The sequence below is a fragment of the Homo sapiens genome, chromosome 8 (genome assembly GCF_000001405.40).
Source record: "Homo sapiens chromosome 8, GRCh38.p14 Primary Assembly".
NCBI classification, from domain to species: domain Eukaryota; kingdom Metazoa; phylum Chordata; class Mammalia; order Primates; family Hominidae; genus Homo; species Homo sapiens.
In genome coordinates, this window is record NC_000008.11 from 90,932,248 (window position 1) to 90,945,289 (window position 13,042).

The 13,042-nt window shown below is 37.8% G+C and overlaps 1 protein-coding gene and 1 long non-coding RNA gene across 7 annotated transcripts in view; one reads left to right on the forward strand and one right to left on the reverse strand.

The window, feature by feature from the left end:
- NECAB1 (N-terminal EF-hand calcium binding protein 1) overlaps positions 1–13,042 on the forward strand; it is a 167,619-nt gene that overhangs the window by 140,473 nt on the left and 14,104 nt on the right. For both annotated transcript variants that reach the window (NM_022351.5, XM_011517213.3), the window contains exons 9-10: positions 2,057–2,110; positions 8,539–8,651. In NM_022351.5, coding sequence (NP_071746.1) covers positions 2,057–2,110; positions 8,539–8,651 — 167 coding nt within the window. The remainder of the gene's footprint in view (positions 1–2,056; positions 2,111–8,538; positions 8,652–13,042) is intronic.
- The window catches only part of LOC105375634 (uncharacterized), a 109,088-nt gene that overhangs the window by 87,349 nt on the left and 8,697 nt on the right, over positions 1–13,042 (reverse strand). Inside the window, exon 1 of one of the 5 annotated variants that reach the window (XR_928394.3) lies at positions 1,439–8,550. The exons of the other annotated variants lie outside the window; for them this stretch is intronic. This is a non-coding gene — a long non-coding RNA (uncharacterized LOC105375634). Of the gene's footprint in view, positions 1–1,438; positions 8,551–13,042 lie in introns of those variants that run through there. 5 annotated transcript variants of the gene reach the window in all.

Genomic DNA, 13,042 nt, shown 5'->3' on the forward strand with positions numbered 1-13,042 from the left:
ATATAATTTTGCCCTCATAGAAAAGCTATGATTTAGACAGGGCATTCATTCAGCCATTCATTTATTCTACATTTATTGAGTACCTACTGTGTGTCAGGTACTATTCCAGCAGTGGAAATACAGCAGTGATGAAAAGAATATCCTTGGTCTTTGAAGAGACAGACCAAAAAAACAACAAATCCATGAAACAAGATAATATAAAATAATGGAAAGTGCTATAAAGAAAAAGTAGAGCAATATAATACAGATAGGGGGTTGAAAACTCCAAATGAGTGGTCTGGAAGTTCTCTCTAATAAGGTGATATTCGAGTTGAGATGTGAAAGTCAAGAAGAAGGCAGCTATGTAAAGATTTAGGGATAGAGAATTTACAGCAAAGCAGGAAAAGTGAACCCCACAGAAGTTAAATACCTTGCCGAAAGTTCCACCACAAAATAACAGCACAGCTAGAGCAACATAGCTCTATTATTAACAGGCATATGTTATTTCAGATAGTCTGGATTTCTACAGTTTTCAGTTTACTTCTTATTTATTTGAAGGAGTTATTCTACATAATCCTCATTGGAAACAATGCTAGGATAGCCATTCACAGAATGAAGTTCTCAGAGATGAAGCACTAGGTTTCACTGGGGACATTAGGACATTAGCATTATTCATTGGTCATCACAGAAGACATTAAGGTCTTAATTCTCAAAAGAAGATATATAAAGGGCCAACAAACTATGAAAAAATGCTCAACATCACCAATGATCAGGGAAATGTAAATCAAAACCACAATGTGATACTACCTTACTCCTGCAAGAAAGGCCATAATAAAAAAATTAAAAAATAATAGATGTTGGCATGGATGTGGTGAACAGGGAACACTTCTACACTGCTGGTGGGAATGTAAACAAGTACAACCACTATGGAAAATAGTGTGGAGATTCCTTAAAGAACTAGAAGTAGAACTACCATTTGATCCAGCAATTCCACTACTGGGTATCTACCCAGAGGAAAAGAAGTCATTATACAAAAAAGAACTTGCACACACATGTTTATAGCAGCACAATTTTCAGTTGCAAAAATGTGGAACCAACCCAAATGCCCGCCAATCAATGAGTGGATAAAGAAATTATGGTGTGTATGTACGATGGAATACTACTCAGCCATAAAAAGGAATGAATTAATGGCATTTGTAGCAACCTGGATGGGACTGGAGACTATTATTCCAAGTGAAGTAACTCAGGAATGGACAACCAACCATTCTATATTCTCACTCATAAGTGGGAGCTAAGCTATGAGGATGCAAAGGCATAAGAATGACACAGTAGACTTTGGGGACTCAGGAGAAAAGGGTGGTAGGGAGATGAGGGATAAAAGACTACAAATCGGGTTCAGTGTATACTGTTCAGGTGACGGGTGCACCAACATCTCACAAATCACCACTCAAGAACTTACCTGTACAAGCAAATACCACCTGTTCCCCAAAAACCTATGGAAATAAAAAAAAAAACTTTTTTTTAAGACTTCACGGTCTTTATAGGAGTTCTTCACTTTTAGCAAATGTCAATCGTATTTTCATTTACTCTTTAATTCACTTTCTATTTAATAAAGAAAAATTAACACCAGGGTATAAATGTATTGTAACAATAGACTAATGTTTATAATGATGTCCCAAGAAATGTAGAAATGTGGCAATACTCATTCATAGCAAAATAAAGCAGACTGTTAGGCTTAGTCATTCTGTTTCCTTTTCTTTCGTTTACCTTCCTACCCTTTCCCTCTCTGTTTTAATGTACCTTTCTCTTCCACTTTGCTCTCTAATGGCATTCAAGAAGTAAATTTAAAGCAATACTTTGAACACGTCTAAAACAGCTTCTTACAATTGATAAATAAGTACAAAGAGTCTTTATTGGAACAGCTGAGTTTTAAAAAAATCAGTATTATTTCATCTTTAAGATAATGAAGTTCTTTTGGTTCAATGTTAGCCATGAGAGAACTATGATTTGAATATATGGCATTGTTTTAAATGATATAATTTTTTTTCTTTTCTGCCATTTCTTCCTCTTATTGAAGGATCTCAAACTCGAACCACCAGAAGAAGAAATTATTGAAGGGAATACTAAATCTGTAAGTATTTTTATCAGGTAAAAATGTTAGAAATATATTCTTTAAAAACATAATTTAATTTCTTCAAAAATTAGTTATCTCAATGAAAAATTGAAAAACCAAGTAGTCGTATTTCATTTTATAAGATTCAGTAGTGTTGTTTCTACATTGTGATTTGTGTAAACCTAATACCTACTTCACAGTTTTTGCAAAAGTACCTGGCATGTAATAGGTGCAAAATGAAAATTTTATACATGTATAAATCAATGAGTTATTGAATAATTGAAGGAATATGACTGGCAGAGAAGGGCAACATTTAAGTTGTATCATAAACATTTTGTAAATCCTGCTATGTTGTACACTGGATATACCTGAGCGGAAACCTGGTTCTGTTCATTATTATATTTCCAGCATTTAGCCTAGGGCCAGGCACATTGAAAATGCTCAGAAATAATTTTTCAAAGAATAAATTGATGCAAAAGGGAACATTTGTATCCCTAGGGACAAGATGTCCATCCAGAGTGGCAGCAGTTTTTGGAAACAGAAGAAGAATGGACAAAGGGATCCTAAAAAGTACATTAAGATGCAACAAAAAGAAGTTAGCAAATAATTAAAAGCAGTACATACCAAGCTTTATTATTTACTTTATGTTGAGGCAAACATGCATAGTACATTTTGTTTCAGGAAGTTGGATGTTTATATTTACATTTAGTGAAAATTTGGATTTTAAAATCTTGGGTAACTAGGAGAAAAATCATTTTTTAATCCCTTAGATGTATTATATACTTTATAGATGTCAAAGGATTGGTCACACATTTATATGAAACCAAGGTAGGAAATAACCTTTCATCTCTGAATTGTGCACAAGCACTGACTACATGATAGATGAAGTTGAGACCCACCTATGTGTAAGGCTCCTGCCCATCTGTCCAAACTCATAATCCAAAGGGATTCTTCAGAGGAAGCTTTGTGGGAGTCTCAGAAAAGTTTAATCATGGCTGCTACTGTTAGAATCCTATAGTTATGAATACTTTACCCCGATAAGCTAGATTTGTCACTGCATGTCTAGTGCTTTTATCCCTCCAGAGACAGGGATGTAGTCTGTGTTAATTCCTCAAGACCCCAACATTTTAAAATGGTAGACTTTCATGGGAAAGAGAGGAGAGGGGTGTTGAGCACATATACATACTAAGAATAGCGGATTTGTGCAGTCCCGGAGGCACAGGAATTGTTAACCTTGTGATCATGCATCTGTTATCTTCTCGTAGGTTTGCATAGAGGAAAAACTATACTCCAGACAAAGGAAAAACAAATATAACTTATCTAATGTTGTGAGAGATAATTGCCTATTCTTAAATAATTTTCTAATGTGAGATTATTTTTTCTCTCTAGTTATGAAGAGGAAAAATTGTCTAAGGATTGTTTGTGAAAGGAGGCAGCTATTCCATTTGCAGGTCCCTGAGCAGCCAAAGCCAAGGCCAATTTTAAAAGATCAACACACAAAACATTACTAATTCAGTAGTGCATAGAAGTACTTTAAACAAATAAGACTGAAGAAGGTCATTCAGCTCTCAATATTGTTTAAAAGCAGAAAAGGATATTCCCTATTTCCAGCCATATATAGAGGTATAGCAATTATGCTCTTTGGGAATAGACATAAAAATTTGAATTGGTTTGTTTTTTCAGAAGTAACAATAAGATATTTGTCATTAAAAGTTGTTTTTTTAATTAATGGTAGTAAGTGCATTACTATAAATTCCTGTAAAACCTCCTATATTCAGAATGACCAAAATCATTTTTCACTGTTATTTCATAGCTAGTGCTCTAGTGCTCATAATTCCATCCTACCATGTGTTAAATGATCTATCCTGATGCCCAAAACCAGTTTTAGAATTTATTGAGTAGAGAGGTATTTTCCCTTTTCCATTAGTGAATGCTTGAGAACTTGGAAAAATAAATTCTATGACAGAAAGCAAAGAATAAATTTGTATTACACTTGGTTTTTGAAATGCTAATCTTTACTGATCCTTTGCTATGTGCCAAGTGTTGTACTAAACACATACATAACTCACTTAATCCTCACAATAGCCAGCCAAATGAGGTAGTGCTATCCTCAGACTCATTTTATCAATGAAGAAATTAAGGTTTAAAGGAGTTTACCTACCATAGCTGAACCCCTGCAGTTCAACCCCAGACCTATGCTCATCACCATGCTCTAACATTTTCAGCCTAAGTGTTTAGTGGATTTCTAGCCTGTAAAGTAGAATTGCTCTTTGCTAGCGAGGTTGTGGATGAATGGATGATTGTTTTATGAGATTCCCTACCATAAGAGCAGAGCAGATTGTCTGGCAGGCTTGTTTAAGCACACAGCAAAAGTCCTGAACCCTAGCAACTGCCATCTCTAGTTTTCTGGGCAATGAGCCGTTACATAATGATGAGTCCAGGAAATGATTTCTTTTTTTAAGTCCATTTTTTTTTTTCTCAGCCCAGAGTAAGAGATGTAACACTTATTTAGTACCTGTCATGGAAAGGATCGTTATACACACAATTCTATTTAGTCCTCCCAAAACTTTGTGATATAAGTACCACTATTCTAATTTTACGTATCAGAAGACAAACTGAGAAAGAATTAAGTAACTTGTTAAAGGCCACATAGGAAAAGTGAAGCTAATTCTTTTCAATTTATATGCCTGCTCTTGAAGAAGAAGGAAGAAAAGAAAAAGAGGACAGGATGGTGGAGACAGATGAAAGAGCACCTAACAATTATGCAGTGCTGTTGAGTTTCCAGGGCCACCTCAAATCCTCTCCTGGAATAAATAGTTTATTAAGGGAATTCTAAGATTAGTCAATGGCTAAAAGCAAAAGCATCTTTAATGTGTTTGTTCCACAAATAACTTGATCACCAACTATGTTCCAGGCCTGGAGATAGGGTCTGGAAATAAAGTGGTGAATATTATAGGCTAGAAAACAAACTAGAAGGAAATTATACAGAATCTACAATAAAATGTGATGAGGATTATTATAGGAAAGTACAGATTTGCACAGTAAGGGGACAGAACTCAATTTAGGAGACCAAGGAATACTTCCAAAATGACATAATACTTAAGATGAAATCATAATAAATAGAAGTTTTTTTAAAAAAAACTTATATATCTCTTACTACATCGAATGATTCTAACACTGCACTGAAAGAACACTCAAGTGCTAGATCAAAATATTCAAATGTTCCAAATGATTTATAACAAGCATATTATAAAGATGTGCCTGTATGGCACTTCTTACCAAAAGAGTACTGGAGTAAGATGATCATTTTCCAGATATTTTCTTCATTCAAAGGTTTTTAAAAAGTCATGATAATTTTAAACAACATTTGAGCACATTCTTGTGCTTTTCAAAAACTCAGACTTTTCTTCAGCACATTGTTGTTGTAATACACTAAAATAGCTTATCATACAATGAGTCTACAAACCTAGTTTTTTTCTGCCTCTCTACACCCATATAAAATCGACGGATAATGTCTTGAAGTCATTCCATTCTGCCATACATTCCTAAGGGTTTGGGGGCTATTCTCAAGTAATGTAACAGCGACTATCAAAATATAAGTCTTGTTTTACAATGGTTGTTAAGAGAGTCAGTGAGAGCATACAAGAAAGGCTAGGGTATCTCTGAAGACATATTTGAAACACAACTGTAAATGTACTAAATAGAACAAAGTAACATGAAAAAATAAGTTGTATTTAAAACATGCCTCTGTGTCCCAAGACTAAAAAAGATGACATTTCTTGAAATGTTCCAAGAAATCAAAGGCTGATGCAACAAAATCTCATGTCACTGGCAAATACTATCCTGTGAACTGAGACTGGCCTTTCATACTTACACAGCACTATTTAGTCCAAGACATTCCAAATATCCAGCCATACTTCTATTGCAACAAAATTTCTATAAGGTAAATGATAAATGATATACTACTACTCCTATAATAGAGAAACAAAAATGTAGCACCATGAAAGAATATTCAACCATGACAGAGTGCTCTGAGCTAACTATATCTTGGGATCCCACATTTTAGTAAGCTTCAGGCTGTGTATTTGACACAAGAGACACATAGAAATATTAACAAGATAGTAGGACTCCTGTTCCACCTCTCCCAAACCCCACATCCTACAATTTGTTTCGGCCTAGCCGGAACAGAAAATTTAAGCGTTTTTTTGGATTTCAGAAAATCTACTTTAAATTAACTATTATTTAAAAAGCTCCGCTTGTCAGAATAGTCATCAAACTTAGGCAGATTATCTGGGGCTCTTTAAATGGATTTCTTTGTGTAACTATCTTAGGAAAGGAGGGGGAAAAGATACATCTGGTTTGGGTTGCAAAGTTGGAAATTGCAACCCAATCTAGGAAGCCGAGAGCTCAATTTTTCCAACTCATACATCAATGTACATAAGTGAATGATCAGTTAGGTATTGGTAACATAATAATGCATCCCCAAATTCAGTGGCTTAACACAATAACCACAATTTTGCAGGTAGGCAATTTAGGCTGGGATCAACTGGCTGGTTCTTATGGTCTCACATGGGCTCCTTGTATCTCTAGTAAGCTGTATGTTAGCTTTGCTGATCTTGGCTGAGCTTTCTCGTATGTCTAGGAGCTCAAGTGTGCTCTATGTGGTTTTTAATCCTCTAATATAGGGGTTGGCAAACTACAGCATACCTCTTGTTTTTGTTCATAAAGTTTTATTGTAACACAGCCACACTCATTTGTTTATGTGTGGGCTGTGGCTGCTTTTACACAATAGCAGAGTTGACTAGCTGCAAAAGGAGCCATGTGGCACAGAAAGCCTAAATAAAATACTTACTACCCATCCATTTACAGAAAATGTTTGCTGGCCCCTGCTGTAGCAGGTCTTGTTCATATGGTAATCTCAGAGATCCAAGAGAAAGAGTGGAAATCCACCGGCCTCTTAGGGCCTGAATTTGAAACTGGTGCACTGTCAGTTCTGCTACGTTGATTGGCCAGAGCAGGTTAGAAAGCCAAACCAGATCCAAGGGGAGGGAAAATAGAATCCATGTCTTGAGGAGAGGAGCTAAAAAGTCAAATTAGTCAAAGGGCATGAGTTCAGGAGGGTAGTGAAGAGTTCTGGTTATTTTTACAATCCATCCCACTTGATCACGTAAGAATTGCCTTTAGACGAAAAGAATTATGATGGAATAGGTGGATGTATTTATATATCTCATTAGGAAAGCCCATGAGCTTTCCTAATTATCTGAGTTAGTAATCACAAATGTCCAACCAAGAGGTCCCTGCAGATTTTTGTGAAAAGGATATATCCATCATTATTTTGGTAGAAATTAACCCTACTTAGTTATTAATACTAAACCCATGTGCTTTGGTTAGTCCAACAAAAGTAGGAATATTTGTTGAATATACTGAATACCTAACCTCTAAAATATCATTGGTATTCAACAAATAGTAGCTATTGACATGAAATGAGAAACCCATTGGAATAGAAAACAGTAGACCAGGGGTTTAATTCTCTCATGCTACATAGCTGGTATTACTGTGGAAGTTATTTTTCTCATATTCTAGATCATCCTTACCTTGTGTTTTGTTTTTGTTTATGCACTTTTATGATTCATGCCAATCCTTACTTTGATTTGCACTTTTATACTTTCACTACCAATTCTTGAAAAGAACTAATGTTGATATCTAAAATTCCATGAGAAGCCCACAGGCGGATCTTGAGGGAAGCCTTGAAACTACAATTGCTATAATGCTAATAGGATTTGTTACAGGAAACAGTTGGCATCCAATCCAGTGTGATCCATTAAAAACAAGCACCATCTGATGCCATTACCATTTGAACAGGGCCTGTTGTAAGTAGTTAATGTGTTTGACAACCCTGTAATATTTGATATACCTTTGGAAATGCATGAGTTACTAATTTTTTTGAAATCTAGTTGTTTGTAATGATTGTCACTTATGTCTAATATCACAAAATATTCAAGAAATTGGAGCTGTGCAATGAACAATAGGACTTCTCTTTAAAAATTGGTAAGTTGTTATAGGGAAGTGATCCCAGCTCTGCCTGCACAATACAGACACTTAGGGAGGTTTTAAAAATAGCAGTGCCTGGGCCCCACTCCCAGAGATTTTGATATAAAGATAATTTTAAAACTTCTCGAGTCATTGAGAATCACTGCTTTTAAAGGGAAACACGTCATTGTAAAGAACACGTTGTTTAGCTTCTGGGACTAGAGGCAAGGAAAATATCTTGCCTAGATTACAGCCTTTATACAGTTTTATACTTGGAATAGTCATGGCCTTCCTTGGTCATATTTTTGGATGACAATCATCTGTTTTTGTGAGGAGGAATGGGATGGGCAGTAGGAGTCAGCTTAAATCGGGCTCCGTGACAGCCAACGCAGTGACCCTCGCCCCTTCCTTGGCAGCACATCATGCTTGTGCAGCGGCAGATGTCTGTGATAGAAGAGGACCTGGAAGAATTCCAGCTCGCTCTGAAACACTACGTGGAGAGTGCTTCCTCCCAAAGTGGATGCTTGCGGTAAGTGCTCCGACTCCTGCACCTTAGGCCTTTGGCAGCCTGGGAATACAGTGAAGGCATTTCTTACTTTAGACAAGGCTGGGGGTCTAGAAGACAGATATTTGAGAATCCTCACATTAAATTATACAGAGCATTCCACCTGGGTGATGTCATTTGCTGCCTTTAACTGAATGTTTTCTCTTTAATCTTTAAACCCCGTGTCGTCTAATCTTTAAACCCCGTGTCGTCTGATCATTGGGGCACCAAGTAAAATGAAATAGAACAACTTGAATGAAGAGACTGAATTTCAAATAAGTTGAAATTCCCTTTTGCATCCAGGCAGCCCACACTCTGATTTAAAATCATCTCTGGTAGATGAGGCGCCAACTCTAGGACATCTAGCTGTGATTGCTCCCTTGGCAGTACGCCCTGTGGCCTAATGACCATTTCAGCCATTAGGAAATTGCAGGCATCCCTGAAGTCATGATTTCAGGCCTTGGTCATTAAAAGAAAATGAAGCAGCAGCAGATCTTTTCTTTCCTCTTTCCATGGGTACCACCCAGCTCAGGCTTCGGATATCTCAAGCTACTAAAATATACTATTCCTCATCTTCAATTTTTTCACTCCAACTGGTTCAATAAATAGTTACTATAATAATTTTCTGGAAACAGTTATCATAGAATTCCCTTAACTGGGAACCTAAAGTAACTCTCTAATGAGTATCTTATCAAAGGCTAGACATTTGTCCTGACTCTATATTTAATCCTACTGACAGACCCAGGAATCCATATCACTACTATTATTTGTTCTCCCTCATCTAAACACTCTGCCTCGGTGATGCACAGATAGAATTTCTGATATAATCTGTTTGTTCCCCACTGTGCCTCAGACCTGGCTATTCTTCCTCTCAGAAATGTGCACCCAGCTGCAAGTCTCTGCCAGCCCATGCACTGCCTCAAGTTCAGAGCCCAGGTCCAAATTCATCTGCTTTTAGAAAACTTCCACAACCAAGTCTAACCCTACCTTATGAGCTTGCTTAAACTATATTTCATAATGCTCTTCAAATGTTGCTTTGGGAAGGTTTTTAGAAAATGTGTGTGTGTTTGTGTATGTGTGTGTACATGTGTGCATAAACAGATACTTCATGTCTCTGGGTGTTTTGCTTTTCCTCTCAGTGTTCAATTAATTATATTTTATTCATACCCCAGCAGAATATTTCTCTAGCTAAGAAGTCTGGCTCTGGAAATAAACATGGAATTTTACTAGCTTTGTGGTTTTGAGAAAGACCCTCACTGGCTCTAAGCCTTAGTTTCCTCCTCAAGAGGCTCATGAGATGGTTGGGAGGATTCAGTGAGACAGTCCATATGCAGTGCTCAGCACAATGCTTCCCATCCACTGAAGACGTGAGCTGAAGTCACTATTGCGTTTACTACTGTTTCCTGGTTGTCTGGGTGGCTGACCTCCTCTCTAGAGTATGAGTACAGTACTTCCTCAGTGCCACTAACAGCTCATCATCTTCCAGTAGTGCCTTTGAAACAAGAACACAGGAAATGCTGTGTTTCCATGATTATTTTTATTATTCTATTTCACGCCAGACTCAGAGGGCACAAATCAAAACCCCATTTTAGTCCTTTTTACTTCAGTGACTCAAGACTTGCAAAGGTGGGAATATGTGTAGTTTTTAAGAGCCCACTCATTTGAAAATAAAATTGAATATTTAAAAATTCAGGGTGCAGTGGCTCACGCCTATAATCCCAGCACTTTGGGAGGCCGAGGCAGGCAGATCACGAAGTCAGGAGTTCGAGACCAGACTGACCAACGTGATGAGACCCCGTCTCTACTAAAAATACAAAAATTAGCTGGGCATGGTAGCATGTGCCTGTAATCCCAGCTACTCAGGAGGCTGAGGCAGGAGAATCGCTTGAACCCCGGAGGCGGAGGTTGCAGTGAGCCGAGATCGCGCTACTGCACCCCAGCCTGGATGACAGAACGAGACTCTGTTTCAAAAAAAAAGAAAAATGCAAACAGTACCTATATATACACCGTTCACAGTGTAAACTTCCCAAAATAGAGCTCAGTAAACTCTTTTTAATGAGGATACAGAGAAGATAAAGTCTATTTCAGTGTATTACAATCTCCAGGGATTGAGTGCATGTTTTATATTTATAAAAAAGGCGCACAAGTTTATTTTTTAGGTTCAGAAACACTACTTTAATGGGTGTTGGGAAAATGACCTCGAGCTACTAGAACAGCCCCAGGGAAAGGGAAACAGGCTGTGGGGGAGTGAGAGAGTGGATAGATTTGTGCCGCCTGCTGCAAATTCCATTCTCTCAATAACCACAATAAATTGCTCCATCAGCTCCTGCTGTGAAGTAGAGGAAAGGAGAGCATCTTTTTCCTGTAAGATAGATTTTCAGCCTCTCTGTTTACTTTGCAAGATTGGTTTGTTTCATACAATTCTTCGTTCACTTCTTATTGCTGATTTTTCAGGTAATTTCTTTTACTGGAATTATCAAAATGTAGACTATATCAGATGGAATGAGCCTCAGGGAATCACTACACCCATATGGAATATATATGGTATAGATGTTATGCCAGTGTGTCTGTCTACATTCAATTTTTCAGTTGTACCAGTTAATCAAATTCAATTTTCTACCTGTATCAATTGATAATCAAATGCCACTGATGCCATCAGTCATGCTCCAATGCACCCAGCACAATTGCCTAGTGCTTGGCTGAGAAAATAAATCTCTGTGAATGTCAGAGGTTCTGTTCTCCCATGATGTTTAGCTTAGTCTCATCATGATTAGGCACAAAATACCTCCATAAAATAAAACAGATATTATTAAGGACTAACAAGATTAGGCATTTTGCACCTATTTTCTTATTTTTGAGACAGGATCTTGCTCTGTTGCCCAGGCTGTAGTGCAGTGGCACAATCATGGCTCACTGCAGCCTCAACTTCTTGGGCTCAAGCAACCCTCCCACCTCAGCCACCAGAGTAGCTGGGGCCACAGGCACATGCCACCATATCTGGCTACTTTTTAAAAATTTTTTACAGACGGGGTTATGCCATGTTGCCCTGGCTGGTCTTGAACCCCCAGGCTCAAGCGATCCTCTTGCCTTGGCCTCCAAAAGTGCTGGGATTACAGGCTTGAGCCACTGTGCCTATCCTCTTGTCTTCACAGCAATAATCAAGAGGCACATATTACATCCAGCTTAGAAGGAACTGGCTCAGATGGGTTAAAAAAAACTTATTAAAGTTTGTCTGACTCTAAAACTAGCGTTTAATCCTTCTTGTCAATATTTGGTCATCCTTAGAGTTTCCTGGATTTTCTGTGATTAACCAGGGGTAGAACACACAAGTCCACTCCTGTTCCAATTACAACAAGGTCTTGCTTTCTTAAATTCAGGCCACTGAATTAGAGGTTTTGCCCTATAAGTTTTTGATTAGGAGACTCTGAAGTATGGGGAGTTACAGAGGTTTTGTTTTAGTAGTTAGATGAATTTTTAAAAAGTTAAGTTAGTGAAAAACTCAAGCAGATTATGTGGACTCATGTTTATAACATATACACACACATTGTTTGATACAACACATACACACACTATTCTTCACTTATTTTGTAATCATGAAGGCTCATTAATCCCCGTTTTTGTCATAGGGAGGTACCAATTGAATATAAGTGGTGTACACGGTATGTTCTCAGAACCATTCTTGACACCAGAGAACAAGAGAATAGTTTTGCTTTCAAGGATCTTAGACTCCAGTTGGGAAAATAGGATGCTCATTTATGAAGGTAGAGCACAATTAAAATCATGTTCATGGCCTAAAATTTCATAGTCGTTAAATAGAACAAAATGATTTCTAAAGTCACTCAGCTACGAAATTCGAGAATTTGAATATATTCAAAACTCCATGTCAAGGGCCTAAGGAATATGAATGTAGGATTACATTGTAAGAATCAACTCTGAGACATCCTTAAGAAATAATGGTGGCACACTGAATCATTAATCATTTATCAGTATTTATTTATTTTTGAGACAGTGTCTCACACTGTTGCCCAGGCTGAAGTGCAGTGGTGCAATCTCGGCTCACTGCAGCCTCAACCTCCCAGGCTCAAGTGATCCTCTCACCTCAGCCTCCCAAGTAGCTGGGAGTACAGGTGCATGCCACCATGCCTGGCTAATTTATTTATTTTTTTTTGAGATGGAGTCTCGCTCTGTCGCCCAGGCTGGAGTGCCCAGGCTTGCGTGATCTTGGCTCACTGCAACCTCCACCTCCCAGGTTCAAGCAATTCTCCTGCCTCGGCCTCCCAAGTAGCTGGGACTATAGGTGCGTGCTGCCACACCCGGCTAATTTTTTGTATTTTAGTAGAGACAGGGTTTCACCCTGTTGCCCAGGCTGGTCGCGA